At 32.6% G+C, this 21,614-nt stretch overlaps 1 long non-coding RNA gene across 1 annotated transcript in view; it reads left to right on the top strand.

Annotated features, from left to right (window-relative positions):
- Window positions 1-23: 23 nt before the first annotated feature.
- LOC105370232 (uncharacterized) overlaps window positions 24-21,614 on the top strand; it is a 35,548-nt gene continuing 13,957 nt past the window's right edge. Inside the window, exon 1 of the long non-coding RNA XR_942011.3 lies at window positions 24-169. This is a non-coding gene — a long non-coding RNA (uncharacterized LOC105370232). The remainder of the gene's footprint in view (window positions 170-21,614) is intronic.

Here is a 21,614-nt window from a genome sequence, read left to right as displayed (position 1 = left end):
AATTGGAATGCGAGTTCAATACTGAAAAGACTCTTAGAGTACTCTCTTTGAAGTTACGAAATAATGACTGGAATATAATAGTATGCAATTAGCAGCTTACTTCCTATATTTTTTTCTTCTTAGTGGAAGAGAGGCCATGATCAATTTAGTATCTTGTCCTAGATCAGAGGTAAATTTATTCTCTAAACTTACTAAACTTAGTAACATTTCAGAGAAACATAAGGACAGCATTAAGATTCTAGGAATGGCACTATGCGTTTAAATTGTTTTTTCAGATTAAATTTACAAGTAACTTAGAACTTGTATTATCTAAATTGAATTAAGATATTGAAGGTGTTTTTAGTCTTTTTCATAATAGAAAGTTATTATTCTTAATGAGTAATTTGGATGATTACTTTCATCCAATTTTGAGTGTCACAATGAAAATTTCTGTATTTTAAAAAATGTGTGCATTCAGTAAATTTCCATTATATTTGTAAACTGAAAAAGGCTGCTAACTCTTTTCCACAAGTATTATTTTATCCTATCTTTTTTCCTTCATTCATGCAGTAAAACTATTATGACGCTTGAGAATGGTAGAGTTGCAGCTGAAATTCACTGAGGAGTCTGGATATGTGGGTTTGTAGACTAAACCAAAAAACTAGACATAGCTATGGTTTACATTCAAGAATATTACAAAAGCTTTATGTGGACTTTGTAATTTTGAGTCTTCCCAATTAAATAATACATTATTACTATTCATCACTAGATATCAGACACACAGAAAAGTTTATTTTCCTAAGTTTTTCTAAAAGAAATCGTTCACTGAGTTGGTATAAATGATTCCATTTGCTAAGAGATACTCATGTAGTTCGGTGCACAAATGTTGAACAATTACATTTAGGAAAATATGATGCAGCATATTCATAAGAGATCTTTCTGGGAGTTAAAAAATAAAAAAGAAATTTGAGTGGATAATTCCTCAAAGATATTAGCCAATGTGCTACCATTATCAACTCATCACAAGGAAGGCTGGTAGAAATGTGCCACATACAGATGTTTTGATCAATGACAAATCACATATAAAATTATGGTACCCTAAGATTATAATGCTGTATTTTTACTGTGCCTTTTCTATGTTTAGATACACAAACACTTGCCAGTGTTACAATTGCCTACAGTATCCAGCATAGTAACATGCTGTACAGGTTTGTAGCCTATGAGCAATAGGCTATACTATATAGCCTAGGCGCCTAGTAAGCTATGCCACGTAGGTAGTGTAAGTACGCTCTATTAAGTTTTCACAATGACAAAATTGCCTTTGATGCATTTCTCAGAACTTATCCTCATTGTTAAGTGATGCATGGCTGTAGTAATTAGCACACAGTTTTGTTTGTTTGTTTTTTGTTTGTTTTTGAGACGGAGTCTCACTCTGTCACCCAGGTTGGAGTCAGTGGCACGATCTCCACCCACTGCAACCTCCGCCTCCCGGGTTCAAGTGATTCTTCTGCCTCATCCTCCCGAGTCGCTGGAACTACAGACATGCGGCACCATGCCTGGCTAATTTCTGTATTTTTAGTAGAGACGGGGTTTCATCGTATTGGCCAGGCTGGTCTCGAACTCCTGACCTCATGATCCTCCCTCCTAGGCCTCCCAAATGCTGGGATTACAGGCTTGAGCCACCATGCCTGGCCCCACAGAGTTTTAAAATTTAATGAATTATTACCTGTGAAGTACTTTCAATAGTGCCTGACCTACAGTAAGTGTTCAATCAATGATGCTATTTTAACTCTTTTATTCAGATCTAATGGAATTAATGTATAAAATATATATTAAAATATAAAACATTATACAAAATTTTAATATAGTATTAAGAGACCAATAATATGAAATATATATTTAACAAATTACACACATTGAAAAATAATTGAATTGTGACATAACAACAACAACAGAAAACCAGAAGCAACAACTCAATAAAATATTGTTGGCAATAGAACAATTGAGAATCGTATTATACAATGGTTGCCCAGGAGAAAAATGTGTAACCCATCAAATGAACCATTTCAAATTGCATTGTACAAATCATTGGAAAGTGTATTTTAAGGAGCAACCCTATAGTGGCAAGGTGGTGAGCAGTGACTTATGACATCATATAGCTTTTTTTAAATCCTTTTATTAATACTCAGGAAAAATTGTTATTGTAGAATTTTAAACTTAATAATCATTAAATATAATATTTGAAATAAACTGCATTCAAAACTGCAACATCAAAATACAATACTGTTTTCTTTCAAAAATTTATGCATACAAAAATAATGCATTTTTTCACAGAAATACTGGAATGCTGATATTAGAGATTTCTTTGGAAATTATTATAGAAAAAAATACAGATGGAAAATTAGGACTTTTTTAAAAAAATAATTCTATTAGTTAAATTTGTTCATACCCCTAAATCCTCATCTGGTTCTTGTGTTTTATTTATGATAATGATGATGATAATTTAAAAATGTTTATCTAGAAATCTGTTTCAACTATTTTTCAGTCCTTGGCCACGAAATGATTACTTCATGTTGAACACACACACACACACACACACACACACACACAGACTGAGATTTTACTATCAAAAATGAATTTTTACATATTAACAAAATTCACTTGTTTTTAAACACTTAAATTTAGTAAAGATAGTAAAACTTGTACTCATTTTTTCCTCTATAATTACTTTTTTAAAGGCCTAAGTTGAAGTTACTGTCTCTGAACTTAACTACAACAAATTATTTTTCTTCATTGTGTAAATTTTCTCTGAGAAATTCCTGCATACACAGCTTTTACAAGGCTAGAAAGAAGTTATATTAAAGTATTCTATATGTAGCAATCAATATATCAATTGATTTATTTTACACATAAGTTAAAGTACACTGCTAGAGACTGTAAGGAACAGAAAATAATAGTTTGCTGTCTATGAATGTACAGTATTTTGGAGAAAGAAAGTGTGAATACAAGTATGATACAGTGAAATATAAGTACTACAAAAGAAGTATTTATTATGTTCATAAGATTAAAAATACACTTCCAGGTGACAGATCATTTTAAGATTTAAGGAGATTACAGTTGTAAGGATAAGCATTAAAGAATAAGTAAGACCTAAAGGAAACTTAGAGAGGTCAGAGCATGTCCTATTGTGGTAATGGCTTAAGAAAAATAGAAGAGACAGGAAAAGTGCACATTATGTGGACAATAAAAGGTACAGCAGGTTAACTGAAGCAGAGAATATGGGATGAAATCAGGAAAAAAAATGTCAACAAAGTCAGGATGAAATTAAAATTTTTACTTCCTGATTTACCAATAAAACATTCCTTTAGTTGTTCACAGGGAAGCTTGAAAATGTGATTGACAAGATATAAAGCAACAGAGGGTAAAACCATATCAAGAGCTAAGTCAAAATGATGTAGTTTGAATTGTATAGGAAAATAAGTAGTAGAATCTTATAATTTGCCTGGTAAAAATTAGGAGTGTGAGATTGGGGGAAAAAGGTTAATTTTAATTGATGTACTAAGCGAAAATGTTTATTTGGGTATCAGTAGGACATTACTAGTGTTGAGTATTGTGCTTCTTGCAGTGGTTATTCCAGATATTACTCACTCTTTTCAAATGATACCTAACACGCCACACTAATAAGAAAACTAGAATCCCTGAGGATCTTTTCTTAAGTTATTAGAAAAAAGTTATTTGGTACTTGACTTGATACTTGTGATGGTTAATTTTATGTGTCAACTTGACTGACCGATATATTTGATCAACATTATTCTGGGTGTGTCTGTAAAGGTGTTTTTTTTATGAGATTAACCTTTAAATTGGTAAACCTAGTAAAGCAGATTGCCTTTTCAGATTCTGGGGAGCCATCTTCCAATCAGTTTAAAGCTTGAGGAAAAAAAAAAAAAGATTGACTCTCCCTCTAGTAGGAGAAAACTCTTCCTGCCTGACTGCTTTGAAGTGGAACATTTATCTTTTCTTGCCTTTGGACTCAAGTAGAAACACAAGCTCTTCTTGGGTCTAGAACTGAACTTGCTGGCTTTCAGACTGGAACTTACACCCTTGGCTAAACAGACTTTTTCTGGAACTAAAGCCACAGTATGTTCCTGGTTCCAAGGATTTCAGACTCAACTGAAGACACCAGCATCTCCTCTGGGTCTTTTGAATACAGATCTTGTGATTTTCAGCCTACATTATTCTGTGAGCCAATTCCCCATTACATATATATATATATATATATATATATATATATATATATATATATATATACACACACACATACATACACATTACATTATATATATATATATACACACATACACACACACTACATATACACACACTACTTATATAAGGTTTCTGATTTTTGGGAAAACAAGAAACAGAACCTAATGAATGGTTTTGTTTTACTGGAGAACTCTAACATGGTAAAAGACAAGTACAAATAAAAATAAGAGGTTGAATTACTCCTATGGAAAATAATTGAAAAGACTTCTCCCTTCCTTTTCTTAGAGCATTTGCCTTAGAAAACTTATCATTGTAAGATGTGTCTCTGTCTTCTTGAAATATGTGTGAATTTTTTAAAAGGCCATTATGCTTCTTGCCAGAATTAAGCCCCCAAAACATCTTCCCTAAGGACATTGAAACTATCTCTTTGAAATTAATCATCAAGAAAGACAGCTCCCCTATCTCTCAGTTTCCATCAAAAGGCAGGAGCTTAACCTCATGGGTGCATCTCTCTAAGTTGCAAAGCCACCTCATAAATATAAAAAATAAAAAGTTTGTTTTTTCTTCACATAAAGTCAATTAACACAGATGGCCACCCTAAATACCATGTGAATCTATGATTAACTGTATGTGACAAATGGCATCATCATCTTCTTACTTGAGGACTAGTTTTTGTTTATCTTCAGAACATGCATATAATAGGTTGTATCTACCTGGCTATATAAAAATATGATTTTTTTTATTTTGAAATCTCATACTAGATTGTTATCACATTCTAATTTAATGTTTACTCAACATAAAACTATTTTATTTCTATTCAACTTTTGTGTAGGATTTTCTCTGTTGGCATGAGATTTTTTTTTTAATTTTATTTCTCTATGAGTAAAATGGTGGTACTGATAGTAGAAGGATACATCCAGATGGAGCAAGATGTATTTTGATCTAGGCAAATTTAATTATATTGCAGGTGACAGCAAATGAAATAAGTCCAAAAATATTGAGACAATGAGAATGTGAGAGGCATAAAAAAAGCAAGGCACTAGGATATAATTTGGAATGATTATTGATCAGAGAGGAAGGGTGATAAATGTTCTCATGGAAATATTGCTTTAATGGTACTGTTTTCTGAATCTTGCTTCTCCTGATGTGGGACACAGATTTGAAGCATAATGTGTAATTTAAAGATAGCCTTGTTTTGGATAACAACATTTCAAACAACAAAAGCTTATTAAAGAGCATGTATTAAGAAAATATCTTGAGAAAAAATTGAAAACTTAGATTAGGTAGGGCTTTAATGATAGTTTAATTCAACAGTATAACTTTACTAGTGAAGGAATCTGGTATGTTACACAGAGCTGGGAATACGGTTTAGGCTAAAATCTTTCTCTTGTAATGGAAATACGCCTTGGCACCTTCACTGTAATGTACAAAGTAAAAGGCAAGAGGGAGAATGCAAGTTGGAATGATTTACACATAGTATCATAACACCAAAGCAATACGTTGTTTTCCTGCTTAAAGTAATGAAGGCGTTTAGTGAGGTTGAGGGTATAAGAGAAGAAGTAAATGAAAGCTATAAATGTCTTAAATTTCCTCAAAGTAACAATATGTGTAATTAAACTTTAGATGAGAAAAATACTGGTTGTTTTTATCAATGCCATTAAACAACTCAACACATAGTGAATCGATAGTGTACATAGTGAATCAATACATAGTGAATCAATACATTTTTCATGGGTGAACTTAAGACATTATATCTTATTTGTGAAATAAGATATAATAATTGTGAAAATATTTAAGGGTTCAAGTTATTAATATCCAACTAGGTAACTATGTATATGTTCTAAATAATGTATACAAAGAATATGTAGTTCTCAGTTTAAAAAAGGATAGAAAAACTTACACTTCAATGTAGTTCCCGGCAGTGACCTCAGTAATTCTAAAGGATTCTACAGTCTGTGCTTCAAAGATTCACACTAGTTGGAGGGTGGACATTTACATAGTTTGAACAAGTAGGGAAAATATTAGACAGTCTGTAATTAACTGTGAGAATATAAGCTAGGAGTAATATGAAAATACAGGGAAAAATGAGGATATTGAATTAGTCTTTCAAACAAAAAAGACATATTTGATATCTTTAGTTTCGGAACTATATATAAATTACCAGGAGAAACTGGCTCATTTTGCACTGTGAAATATACTACCCTTTTTCCAAGATATTTCCAAAAAAATGAAGTTGAATTTGCAAAAATATCACATCATCGCACTAGCCTTGGCTGTAAGCTTGCTTAGAGAGAGAGGATAATGGGGATTAACTGGAAATTTTAATTTAGAACAGGAAACATGACAAGAAATTGAGGGTGATCTGAGTAGAAAAGAAGAAGTTTTAGAGACTATAAAAATATTCAGATGAATAAAAAATAAAATACTTTCTGCATCATAGTGTTTAGATTAGCAGACCCAAATAATTACGTATTTCACATACATATTTTTATCTGTCATTGCCATAAATAAAATGGGAAAAAAACATTTGTTTCCTTTACTTTGAGTCATTCAGATTTGCTATTTTGTTTCCTGTTTATTACATAACCTATTGATTCACAATTTTCCCCTAGCTCAATCCAAGGTTTCTAAATGGTGATGTATATGTTGGTGGTGGTAGTTTTTGTATTGCTGTGTGGTAGTGGTTATTTACTTTTTGTCCTGTGAGCCAGGACCCCGATATTATATTCTTCTGAGTTAAACCCAAATTATTTCTTTGATTCTAGAAAGGTGTTTATTCCCTCTGAGTACTCTTCTCCAAGACACCTATTTTAAAAGGAAATGTCATAATAAGATATAATATCCATGGATTTTTATTATTTAAAATTTGTGCCCCCTTTATAATTCAAATTGCAGTCTTCTGGCTGTTAGCAAACACCCAAAATTTTATTTTCTTAGTTAGTTATTTTTTGCAATGGGTTTCAATATTCTTTAAGCCAAACTTAACATTATTTTTTCAAAAAAAGGAAAACTTTAGGAAACAATGGAATACTATTTTATCTTCATTTTTGGTTAATAATAAACAGCATAACTTTTCCTTTTCATTTTTGAATTAGAAAGTACTACACCATAACTTTAAGAATACTCTGGGCCTGGCGCGGTGGCTCATGCCTGTAATCCCAGCACTTTGGGAGGCCGAGGCGGGCAGATACTTGAGGTCAGGAGTTTGAGACCAGCCTGGCCAACATGGTGAAACCCCATCTCTACAAAAAAATACAGAAAACTAGCTGAGCATGGCAGCAGGCGCCTGTAATCCCAGCTACCTGGGAGGCTGAGGCAGGAGAATTTCTTGAGCCCTGGAGACAGAGGTTGCAGTGAGCCGAGATCGCGCCATTGCACTCTAGCCTGGGTAACAAAGCAAGACCCCGTCTTGGGGAAAAAAAAAAAGAAAAGAAAAGAAAAAAAAGAAATAGAATACTCTGGTGCCACTGAAAGCATTAATAGTGTACTACCAAAGTCTTGCCATTTTTTCTGCAATTTCTACTGGAGAGAATCTTAGCCACATAACCTGCTCTGTTTGTGAATGCTAGTTTTCTAATTGAACATCAGTAAAATATGGTAAAGAAAAAACTTTTGTTGGCCTCTTGTTTTGTGTTTTTCCATTTGCTACCCAAACTCCTACCCCACATATTTTTACCCATTTTTCTCTGCTAAGGAAGTTAGTTAGATGCTAGAAACAAGGAGTTGGGAATTGGGGAAAAGTAGAGATCTAAAAAAGCTACATTCAACACAATGCATCGTTGCATTTTATAGATAAATACATACATAGATTTATATGCAAAAAAATATTTTACCTTTTGTTTTGGTTCTAAAAGATTACTTTTCCCTTCTACCTTAAAATAAACATATATCAATTCTATTTTAAATTTGGCTTAAAAAACTTAAAGCATAAAGTGTAAAATACATTGGTCAAATTATAATAAAAATAATGTTTTCAAGCGTTACTTTTTTTTGGTGTTTACACCAAGGTTTTAAAAATATTTTCATATTTTAGATATTTCTTTTAGGTGAGAATACAAAATATCTTCTAATGGTCAAAAATACTATCAGTAAACAAAAATCATATTTTTATTTCGCCATAATCCTATGTCAAATTTTGCACTTAAAACTTTTCAATATATCAAATATTAAATTCTGAAAAGAGAAACAAAGATGCTTTCCTATTTCTGAACTAATCAATACCAAAACAGTGTAAAAATCACTTAGCAACTTGTTTCAGGAAATATTTGTTCCTGGAAGAAAAGCCTATAAAAAAATTAAAATAGAAACTTATAAAAACTAACACCTTGGCTGGGCATGGTGGCTCACTCCCGATATCCCAGCATTTTGGGAGGCCGAGGCAGGCAGATCAGGTGAGCTTAGGAGTTCGAGACCAGCCCAGCCAACATGGTGAAACCCTGTCTCTACTAAAAATACAAAAATTAGTTGGGCATCATGGTGCGTGCCTGTAAACCCAGCTACTGGGGGACTGAGGCAGGAGAATCCCTTGAACCTGGGAGGTGGAGTTTGCAGTGAGCCAAGATCATGCCACTGCATTCTAGCCTGGGTGACAGAGGGAAACTCTGTCTCAAAACAAAAACAAAAACAAAAACTAACACCTTAAATACTCATTTTAAATTTTTGCCTCACTCTGACCACCAAGACAAAACCTAACATATAAACTCTTCATATACCTAGCCAGTTTTCCACATTGCAAGATCCTTTTAAAGTCATCCTGCCTAGGTCCTAAGATTGTAGAAATATTCTCTCCTGATTTCTACCTTTCATGCCAATATTACAATTCCATTAATGTGACATTCTTCCTTACTACAGTAAGTCTAATTAACTTAAATTTACTTAATCAATAGGCATTCTGTGGGGATTTCTGTGGGGATTTGATAAGATCATTTCAAAAGTAAATTAAATAGTTTTATTTAAATTAACTCTCATATAAATAAAAACTACAAAATTTAGACAAAATACAAAAAATAAAAAACTTGTGAAGCCTCCAGAAAGTGACCAAAGCACTTGGATTGTGGAAGGTTGAACATTTGGAAGAAGAGAATGGCAGTGAATGAGTTTCCCATTTTCATGAATTTTAGAATGAGGGCAGGCCCCAGTCTACACCATACCAGGCTGGTAAGACTGAAATAGACACTCTCATTTTACAGACTTGAGGAATTAGAAGATGTGCTTCAGGAATTTACTACACATTAAAAGTGTGGAGAGAAATCTTGAAAAGGAAACTTCCAGGGAGGGGAAGCACCAAATTCTATGCGTAATCTTTTCTAAATCTCTGTCTGATCTCTAAAACATGAATATTCATCCCAGATGGCAGGTATCCTCAACTATATCTATAAAACTAACTTTAAAATTCAGCTGTTTCCCACAACAAGGGACACAGTTTGCAGTTTGGGCACATAAACTACAACACAATTAAAATTTCCCTGCAATATGTAGATGATAATGCCAGGATACAAACCAAAATTATTCTACATAAGAAGAGAAAGGAAAATGTGATTCTTGATAAAGGGACAACTAATGAATACTGATCCTGAGATGACCCAGATTTTGAAATTAGTAGATAAAGACTTTAAAGTACTTTTAACAATGATTAAGGATATAACATGTATGTGTAACAAGGGAAAATGTAGCAATTAAAACACAGAATAGAAAACAGTAAAACAGGAAAAAAAGAGTCAGAGAGCAAAAAGAAGAAAACAGACAGAATAAAAGAATAGAGGAAAGAAAAGATTGAAAAATGATTAGAGTGTCATAAACGTATGGGACAGTATTAAGTTCGAACATGCACGTAATTGGAGTTGCAGAATGCAAGAAAAGGGAATATGTGACAGGAAGAACAATATTTTAAGAAATATATAATGGCTGTGAATTTTTCCCTTTTGATGAAAGATTTAATTTTAGAGATTTAAGAAACACAGTGAAACCTAAGCAAAATGAACACAAAGAAAGCAACCTACATATATGGTCAAATAGTTGCAATGTAAAACTGAAGGCAAATTGCATTTCATACAGGATAATAACATTTCAAATGAGTGTGACTTATCATCATAAACAATGAAAGCCTGAAGACATTGAAATAATATCTTCAAAGTGCTAGGGCGGAGGGAAAGACTACCACCCCAGAACTGTATGTTTTAAAGCCTTACTCCCTAGCTGTCTCAGCTATCACTCTCTCCTTAAATTTTCATGTTTTTTAAATTTCATACCTTATATGAAATTTAAAGTATATCTGGCATTTAATTTTAAGCCAGCCATTTGTGATTAAACCAACTGTATGGATAAAACAAGTAGGCTTGGAATTATCTTTTAGTGATTGTGGTTGCAACCTGCCACACAAAAAGGCTCTCCCACATGGGGTCCTGTTAATAGCCATAAAAATCAAACAAAAAATGGCTTTTTAAAGCCAATCTGTAAATATTTGTTTACTGTTAAAGACTGGCATGGGATGGAAGGGCATTATTTTAATAATTAGAAATTTTCTTATTTTTCTAGAATCTTGTGAATATGAAGGTAAAACAATGAAATAGAGATAAATTACATTTTTCATTAAAAGCTCATTAAAAGTACTGACACCAATATTGGTACCAACACTCTCCAAACAATGGCTTCCAAACTTGAGTTGACTAATAATAATGCTTTCAGACAGAAAAACAAAACAAAACAGAAACAAACAAACAAAAACTAACAAGTAGATATTTGCCATCAAAATGCCTTCTTTGCTCTGTTTTCTAAGGAGATAAGATACATAGTTATCTTCACACTGAAGTTAACTATTCTAATAAATAGAACACTGGGGAAAATATAAAAAGCTGTTAGAACACATCTAATTTTATAAACATTGTTTCTAACTTTCGGTTCATATAAGGTTATGTAAAAATTACTTATGTGATACCATTCACATACAAAAGAAGCCATTTCTTATTTTTTAAGCACATCTATTTCAAACACTTTGATATTTTTTAATAGAGAAAGTGAGTTTTATGTCAGGGTGGGTGGAGTTGAGTATAAATCACATAAAATAAAGCACAGAAAATTAGAGAAAAAGAAAGTATCTTTGCAAAACTTTCCTTAAGTTTACAGTCAAATTTTATTCGCTATTATATAAATAGCAGACATCTCCTTGCACTACAAACCTGTCACATCTCATAAACTTGGCTGAGTGAATTGAGTAGATGGGAAACCTCCAAGGGAACATCAGTTAGTGCAATAAGTGGGATCAGTGATTCAGGAGAGTTCACTCATACATACTTTTCCTAAGTCCCAACTTGGTGTTGGTGAGAATCAAGATATTGAAGGTGCTATTAAATGACTTCCTGGCTCTGTTTTAGTACTTAAAGCTGTTCTGAGCTATTTCTCAATATAACTATAAAAATAATAGTTTTCTGGCTAAATTCCATTCCAGAAAATCACACAAAACCACTCCAAATACTCCCTGAACTTAAAAGTTGATAGAAACTGTTAAAGGCTGCTTCTGATAATTTTTGCCAAAAATTCAACCACAGTTCTGACACTGGAGCAAGGAAGCAAGGGTGTTTAACAACACAGTGGTAGTGATAGTGCATTTGCAAAAAGTCTACACGAGTTAGGATAAGCACGAGTTTCAATTCTGGATCTCCAAATTAAAAAAATAATAATAAAAAGGAAAATAAAACAGTGTAGAATTTAGGATGATGCGTCTATATTTTTCAGCAGGTATAGTGTGTAAGGATGCCAAGAACAAAAGCAATGATCAGATAACAGGCATTAGCCCAAGAAACATCAATAAGCACATCTTTAAATCTGCTCACAAACTTAACTGATAACTGATAATAACATTAATATTATTTTAAATTAACAAATCATATTTGTATATATTTATGGGGTTCAATGTGATATTTTTATATATGCATATGATGTGAAATGATTAAGTAAAACTAATTAATATATCCATCATCTCACTTATTTTTTTTGGTGAGACATTTGAAATGTACTCTCTTGGTGTATACCTTAATAATGAGGATAGTTCTGAGAAATGGGTTATTAGGAAATTTTATCATTGTGTGAACATCATAGAGTGTTATTTACACAAACATAATGGTATAGCCTACTACATTCCTCGGCTGTATGGTATAGCTCCTAGGCTATGAATGTGTACAGCAAGTTAGTGGATTGAATAATATAGGAAATTGTAACAAGGCAAGTATTTGTGTGTCTACACATAGAAACGGCACAGTAAAAATACAGTGTAAAATATATAAGATGATTCACCTGTATAAGGCACTTACTATGGATGGAGCTTGCAGGACTGGAAGTTGCTCTGGCTGAGTCAGTGAGTGAGTTGCAAGTGAATATGAAGGCCTAGGACATTACTGTGCACTACTGTAGACTTTAAAAACACTGTGCACTTGAACTACATACTTAATAGCATAGTTTTTTTGGTTCAATTATAAATTAACCTTAGCTTATTGTAAATTTTTTTGCTTTAAAAACTTTTTCGCTCGTTTGTAATAACTTTTAGCTTAAAATTTACACACACACACATTGTACAGTTCTATAAAATATTTTCTTTCTTTAAATCTTTATTGTATAAGCTTTTTTTTTTCTATTTTTAAAACTTGTATTTGTATTTTCTTTTACTTTTTACGATTTTTTGTTAAAAAAGTAAGACACAAATACACATATTATCCTAGGTCTACACAGGGTCAGGATCATCAATATCACTGCCTTCCACCTCCACACCTTGTCCCTCTGGAGGGTCTTCAGGGGCAAAAACACACAAGGAGCTGTCATCTCCTATGATAACAATGCCTTCTTTTGGGATATCTCCTGAGGTCCCTACCTGAGGCTGTAATATAGTTAACTTTTCTTTTGTAAATAAGAAGGAGTACACTATAAAACAATAATAAAAATATAGTATAGTCAGTGCATAAACATAGCTGATTATCATTATCAAGCATGATATACCATACATAATTGCACATGCTATACTTTTATATGACTGCCAGCTCAGCAGGCTTGTTTATAACAGTATCACCACAAACACGTGATAATGTATTATACCATGACATTATGAGGGTTACCACATCACTAGGCAATAAGAATCTTTCAGCTCCTTTATAATCTTAAGGGACCACCATCCTACATGCAGTCCACAGTTGGCTGAAATGTCATTATGCAGCACATGACAATATAGCATGGATTGTTATTAACTGCAGTCACCAAGCTGGGTTATAGATCTCAAAACTATTTTTCCTGTCCAACTGAAACATTGTACTCTGACCAGCATCATTCTACACTTCATTTTATGAGTTCAGCTTTTTAAGATTTCAAATATAAGTGACATAATGTAATATTTATCTTCCAGTGATGCATTATTTCACTTAACATAATATCCCCCAGTTTCACCCATGTTGTCATTAATAACAGAATTCTTTTTTGAAAAGCTGAATAGCATTTCATTGTGTATATATATATATAGACAAATATATTGTGTATATATATAAACACCAATATATTGTGTATATATATATACACAATATATTGTGTGTGTATATATATATATATACACTACTGTGAATAATACTGCAATGAACATGACAGTGCAGATATTCCTTCAACATATGAATTCCAATTCCTTTAGATATAACACCTAGAGTGGGATTGCTGGAAAATATGGTAGTTTTGCTTTTGATTTTTGAAGAAACTTCAACGATTTTCCATAATGGCTCTACTAATTTCCCTTCCCACCAACAGTGTTCAGGGGTTCCTGTTGTCTGCCCTCTCATTGTTTTTCTACATTGTCACCAACACTTAGTTCATCATTTTGTAATAATCATTCCAACAGGTGTGAGGTTTATCTCATTGAGGTTTTAATTCATTCTAACACATATGAGGTTTTAATTTGGTGAGTATTATTTCCAATAAAAGTAAAAAGTATGTTTACTTTTGAGAAATGTCTAGTCATATTTTGTGCCATTGTTAATTGGATTCTTTATTTTCTTACTGTAGTGTTGAGTCCTTATACATTTTGGATATTAACCCCTTAGCACACATTGTGGTTTGCAAATATTTTCTTTCTCTCTGTGGGTTGCCTCTTCATTTTGTTAATTGTTTCTTTTTCTGTACAGAATGAAAGTGTATATCCCAGATAGTAGTTTTTATTAGAATCTAGTTGGTTAATGTATGCAAAAATGCCTTATACTATTCATGGCATGGAGATAAATGCTCAAAAACTCCTAGCAGCTTTTTTTCCTTTTTGTATCCCTCTCCTCAAACTCCTCTTCCTCTTTCTCCTCATCCTCTTTCTCCTCATCCTCTTTCTGATTTTCCTACCCACCTCCTCTTACTCCTTCTTTTTCATCATCATCTTTTTCTTCCGTTTTATCATTGATTCTGTTACTGTAATGGAAACTGAATAGTATTGCTAGACTTACGATTACTATAATCAAAGAGGAAAAGGGTGTTACCTTGTTGAATAACATTTGTTTTTATAATATCCATATATTTAACTATCTTTCATGGGAGGATGATTTTTGTTTTGCAGGTTTTAAGCAATCCTCTGCAATTTTATCAGCTTACCCAAAAATAAAATCATTCTTTTACTATCATTTGAATAATAACGTGTGATACAAAGGGATATTTTCCTGGTGGTGCTTGTGATGTTAACGTTAATGATGATGTTTGTCATGCTGACAGTGGTGTGGTACAGATGGGAATTCAAAGACATGGTAATAATTCTTTTGATTAACTCCCAGATTTGATTTATAAAATATTGAGTCAAACTGGGATTCCTTCATTCATCCCAATGCTTCACTTCTTTTTTTGAGAAAGCACAGTATATTGTTAATAATCACATTTACTATTACAATTATACTACTTTTCAATTTAACAAGAGAGAGGCGCTTTTCTAGACTTTGCAGGTTACTCACTAAAAAAATTCAACAGGCTTCTCAAAATTACATAGATTCAATGCACCTGCAAGTATATCATGTCTTGATCTGTGGCATGTGGAAAATATAGCATGAGGACACCAATACCATAGTAAGAAATTATATTCTGAGACCAAATGTTTTATTACATACTAAAGACAGTGTATACAACCACATAATGTAAAATAGTAAAGTGATATTGTTGGAAATATATTTAAGTAATACTCTTTCTCCAACTTGAAAGTGTTTTCTGTTAGGATTTTGAAAGATTCCAAAAGTTAGCCTCTTAAAGCCTGGTGCATCCCGATATTCTCCTTTGCAAATGTATCCTTTTTCTCAGGGTGGTAGACTCTAAGTTTTATGTTGATGTTACAGAGTTTTCAATTTTCCAAGATTTCAACCAATTCCTTTATGGTCTTACATTGTGATGCTATTTCTCACTTATTCCTTATCCAGATCTCTTTACCCTGCTGTACTGACATCTCTTCACTGATACACCTTACTCAACCATACCTTCTTGGTTCTTATATAGGACCTGACATCCACTTTATAATCCACCTGCTTTTCTCTGTTCCTAAGACATTCTAATCATGTGATATTTCCTTAGCTGTTCAACCCACAAGTCAAAGTTACATACTCAAGATAATCTTTCTGCAAGCTCTCAAAGAAATCTTGAGTTTTAGGGACCCGGAATCTCACAGCACAGAGGGCATCATTAGACGTGTCTCATAGAGTGTTCAGTAATATTCTTTCTTATGCATGAAAGAAATTCAGCAACCTTAAAGATGTACAGTCTTGTTTATGTAATACAAACATACGAACCACATTTCATTGATCTCGCTTGCAATGACATTGTCAGAAAATTCTTTTTGGTTATTCTGCATATGTGATTTTTTTAGCCCCTTTGCCTATCTAATCACCACAGTCCTGACTCTTGGTTACTTTTACTCATCTAGTAAAAACCCTGACATCTCATGCTAAGCTGGAGAAGATTCCATTTCATTTAGATTTTACATATTTAGTTTTTTAAGATAAGAAAAATGTTCTCTTGCTGATATAACTTATCAGAATATTAAGTATTAAGTATTATCAGATTAATACTTAATATTTGGTTTTGCCAACAGACTCTTTTGGTAAAGCACATTGTTTTCTTGCTTATGTTGACTTACTCAGATAGGACAATATTGAAATATTTTTATAAAACAAGATCTTAGTCCAAAACAAACCTTTTCTTGTTAACATCTATGGGTCTTCAAAGCCAATTTTGATGTTACACTAACAGAACGCTGTCATTTTTATACCTTTCAGGGAACATTTCTTCATAGGGCGGTGATGGGAAACAAAAAAAAAGAGTTGTATCAAATTGAAGAAAAATGCATCCTGCCAAATCTGTATTGAAGCAAAAAAATACAATAATGAGATAATGAAATAACTTAAATTCACGCTAGCAGACATTAGAATTGAAGCCACATCATTTGTTTTATGGTGACACATAGGCAGATCTATTTCTTTGAAACTTGTTTATAGTATTGTCCTTTTAAGGGTGGTAACATACACAAATCAAAGAACACCATAATATTCTTGGGAGAAAAATTAACCAATGGGTCTCTCTCTGTTCTGCTTGTCTTGTGAACAGTCTTTGTTCTGAACTGTCTTTCCAAGGATGTTAGTAGAGCAAATATTCTTGAAAATGAGAGTTTTTCCTTTATAAATAAAGGGCAGACATGTTTCTTTCCACACAAATATTTGGCTTTCTTAAAGTTGGGATTTCTGACTCCGGTCACTGCTATTGCAGTGAGTATGAAGCTATCCTTTGTTCCTCTCCCAAGCATCTCTTTGTTGTCTGCCAGCATTCAAGTAACTGAGGCAGGATAACTTGTCAGCCTGTAAGAATGGTGCAGTCTCAGACTCTTCACTGTTCTTGACAAATATCTAAAAAATAATTCATCCATATTTATAACAATATGTACAGAAAACAAATATGAGATACAGTTGACAGAAAATGACTAGTATTTATTATTTTCCTGTATATTTGTAGAGAAGTCCATTCAAAATCATCCCCTAGCAGTTTTTAATAAACAAATACTGATTTGTAATGAGACATTTCCATTTTTACTGCTAAATGACAAAATAATAGGCATTTTGCAAGACAGAGGAATGGATTATTTTTTCTACTTTAAAACAATATTTGACAGATTTTATTAGCAGGATGTTAGCAGACGGCGTATAATCCATCCTTCCTAACTTGGTGATGTCAGTGAAATGAGACAAAAAAGAGAAAAAAGATATAATCAAAACTCCTTGTAAACATTCTCATCAAATTTTTTATGGGATATATAAAAATAAACTTATAATTTATAAATTTATGGAACATGGCCTATGGGAAATATTAGTGTCAGCTATGTATAAGAGTTTAATACGGAGATATTTTATAAGCAAACTAGCTTTTTTGTGTAAGTGATGTATGACATGTATTACTTAATGACCTCACATGTTAAATCTGAAACAGGGCACATGCTAATGTAAGGAAAGGAAACTATGAATATGCATCAGGAGTCTCAGACTTCTCTGTGCTTTGCCTATGACACATAGTTACCTGTGACTCATAGCTACCTTTATTATTAAGAAAATTTGAAACTAGAAAAGATTCCTGACATTTGTATGTCTGATTAGAAAATATTCACTTTTTCTGTCTCATCTAATATCTATTTTTTCTCCTACCTCACCAAACCTCAACTTTGTTTCACCAATTACTCTCCATAAGAACTTTCACTAACTCACAAAAACACATTTGCCAAACTTATTTTGGTTTCTCTATAATACCATAGTTTTTCTTTTCTATAATTTCAAATTTTATTTCACTTTCAGGGAACACAGATGCAGGTTTTTTATATGGGTATGCTGCAAGATGCTGATGTTTGAGGCATGAAAAATCCCATCACTCAAGTAGTGAGCGTAGTACACAGTAGGTAGTTTTTCAGCCCTTTTCCCCTCTAGTAGTCCCCAATGTCTACTATTCCCATCTTTATATCCAAATGCACCCAATGTTTAGCTCCCACTTATAAGTAAGAACATGTAGTATTTGGTTTTCTGTTCTTTTGGTAATTTGCTTAGGATGATGGCCTCCAGCTGCATCCTTGTTGCTGCAGAGGACATAATTTCATTTGTTATGGCTACGTAGTATTCCACAGTGTATATGTGCTATGTTTTCTTTATCCAATCTGCCCTTTATGGGTATCTAGGTTGATATGTTGTCTTCACTATCATGAATAGTGCTGCAATGAACACATGAGTGCATGTGTCTTTTTTGCAGAACAATTTATTTTCCTGTGGATACATACCTAGTAATGGGATTGCTGGGTTGAATGGTTCTGTTTTAAGTTCATCGAGAAATCTGCAAACTGCTTTCCAGAGTGATTAAACTAATTTACATTCTCACTAACAGTGTTCTCCACAGCCTTGCCAGCATCTGTTTTTGTTTTTGTTTTTTTTGTCTTTTTAATAATAGCCATTCTGACTGGCATGAGTTGGTAGCTCATTGTGTTTTGATTAGCATTTCTCTAATGATGAGTATTTTCTCATATGTTTATTGGCCACTTGTATGTATTATTTTGAGAAATGTCTGCTCATTTTCTTTGCCCACTTTTTAACTTTTTATTTTATTTCTTTTTTTTTTTTTTTTTTTTTTTGCCTGTTGATTTAGTTTCTTTTTAGATGCTGGATATTAGACCTTTGTTAGATGAATAGTTTGCAAATATTTCTCCCTTTCTTGGGGTTGTCTGCTTACTCTGTTGATATTTTTCTTTTGCTATGCAAAAGCCCTTTTAGCTGGTTTTTGTTTTCCATTCTCTTTATGTTGTGAATCACATTTATTTGTGTATATCGAACCAACCTTGCATCCCAGTAATAAAGCTGACTTCATTATGATGAATTAACATTTTGATGTGCTGCTGCATTTGGTTTGTTAGTATTTTGTTGAGGATTTTTGCATCTATGTTTCAGGGTTATTGGCCTATAGTTTTTTTTTTTTTTTTTTTTAATTGTGTCTTTGCCTGGTTTGGGTATCAGAGTGACACTGGTTTCATAGAGTGAGTTAAAGAGGAGTTTTTCCAAAAAATTTCTGGAATAGTGTCAGCAGAATTGGTACTAACTGTTCTCTGTATGTCTGGCAGAGTTTGGCTGTGAATCCATCTGCTCCAGGGCTTTTTAGGTTGGTAGTTTTTATGACTGATACAATTTGTGAGAATCAAAAATCCATACAAAGATTAATGAAGGCAGGATTTTTTTTTTGAAAAAATAAACAAGATTAATAGACTGCTAGCTAGATCAACAAAGAAAAAAGAGAGAAGATACAAATAAGCATAATCAGAAGTGACAGAATTTGACATTAAATTTAACCCTGCAGAAATACAAAAGATCCTTAGTTATTGAGAACAGTTCTGTGTACACAAACCAGAAAATCTGGAGGAAGTGTACTAATTGTAATTCCAGTCAACAAATAACTCTAAAATTAAAGGAATTTGTACACCCCCTCTAGTTAGAGAAATTCCTATGGAATTAGTGGAATTCCAGTTAGAAACAAACTACAAAGATTGAAATAGGAAGAAATTCAAATGTTGAACAGACCAAATTGAGTCCCATAGATTTTCTTATCTAACACCTGTTTTTATTCTAATTACTATTACTTCTTCTCTTGCTTATACAAAAAACTTCACTACAAAAAATCTCATTCTGTCCACCACTATCAAGTTTCCTCCTACATTGGATTTTGCCATCAGCATGTAAACATGCACATTAACAATAATACATCTTTCCTCCCCACTACCTCTATCATTTCCCACTCCTTTTCATACTTTTTCTTTTTCTTTAAGCAAAACTCTTTAAAATATTAGTCTGCTATGATTATATCCAATGTATTCAATGTATTTAAAGAATGTATTTCCTACTCTACTCAGATACCCCCATCAGTTTATTTAACTGTTTTTATCAAGGTTACCAAGGATCTAAGTATTTCTAAACCTAATTATCAATTGTCAATCCTTTATTACTTGACCTATTCATAGCAATTACTGAAATTGATATTTCCATCCTCTTTGTAACTCTTCTTTCAATCAGCTTTCAGAGCATCAGAGTCTTTTTGTTTGTTTTCTGCTTCACTGGATGCAACTTCCTTCCTTACTTATCAGAATTTTTATTTCTTTTCTAGAAAAAATACACATAGAAAATATCATGTAGCTATTGGATTGGCAAAATAATATTTTCTTAATTTGATTAAAGTTGATATAATATTAAAAAATTACTTTTACATGGTGAGGACAACATTATGCTTTTTCCATCATATCTAGGGATTATCCTGTGCCATCAAATCTTATTCCACAGAAACTGATTTTTCTCTCTCTAAAGGCTATGACACTTCCTCTTCATGGATGCAAAATGTTTATAAAATCGTGTGTGAGAAAAAGTAGGTAGTCCTGGTGAGATACACCCATTCCAAACAATGTGATAAGAAACCAATGCACAAACTAGAGCCACCTCATTTAAATTTCTGTTTATGGTAAAATATCATCTTCAAATTGAAGGACAAGTTGCTACTCTTGAGATTTGTTAATTTTTTTTTTTAATCTGGAATGGACATATGCAACATTTATGTGTTGTGAACCAGTTTACACAAAAGGCTACCAAGTTTGAATATGACAAGAAGTAAAAGTAGTTTATTCAGCTCATTCAGGCTGCAATCAGCTTAGTTTTCCACTTGGCTTTATGGAACAATATGTGTAAATGATTTCAAAGATTCTGAATTTCATGTTGCAGCTCTATTTCTTCTGTGGCAAATTTCTACAAAAAAATCCCAATAATTTTGAACTTTTAAATAAAGTTATAACATCTAGAAATTATGATTTTCCGCTAGAGAAAAGTAATTTGACACTTAAATGATATGTAAAGCACAATAATAGAATATCAGGTAAACAGCTGACCATCAGAAATTTAATGTAGCCAATACAACAAGTTATGAATTCAGAAATGCCCTGAAGCACATAATATTCCAAAGGAAATAGTATAAGTTTCTTTATAGTATAATTGTGGATCAGGTGTTTAAATGTCTTCTTAGTATATGTAACATTATGGCTAAAATGCATATTAAAAATCACCAAACATTTGGTTTTAAATTAATCATTAGTATTTCTGAAAAGTAAATACTTATTTTCGGTGATCAGAGATAATTAGAAGGTAGAGAGATAAGCCAGCTCTGGAGCTGGAACATTATGATAAAAGGAGGGAGACATAAAAGTTTCAACAAATATTAGAAAATTTAAAAGTATTATGAAAAAAATTATGCCTGATACATTTAGAAAATAAGCGTAAAGGATAATCGTGTTAAAAATACATAAATTGGCACAACTGACTCACAAAGAAGAGAAA

This window comes from Homo sapiens, chromosome 13 (assembly GCF_000001405.40).
Source record: "Homo sapiens chromosome 13, GRCh38.p14 Primary Assembly".
Classification (NCBI taxonomy): Eukaryota; Metazoa; Chordata; class Mammalia; order Primates; family Hominidae; genus Homo; species Homo sapiens.
The sequence above is the reverse complement of the archived record's forward strand: the minus strand, read 5'-3'. Positions and strand labels throughout refer to the sequence as shown.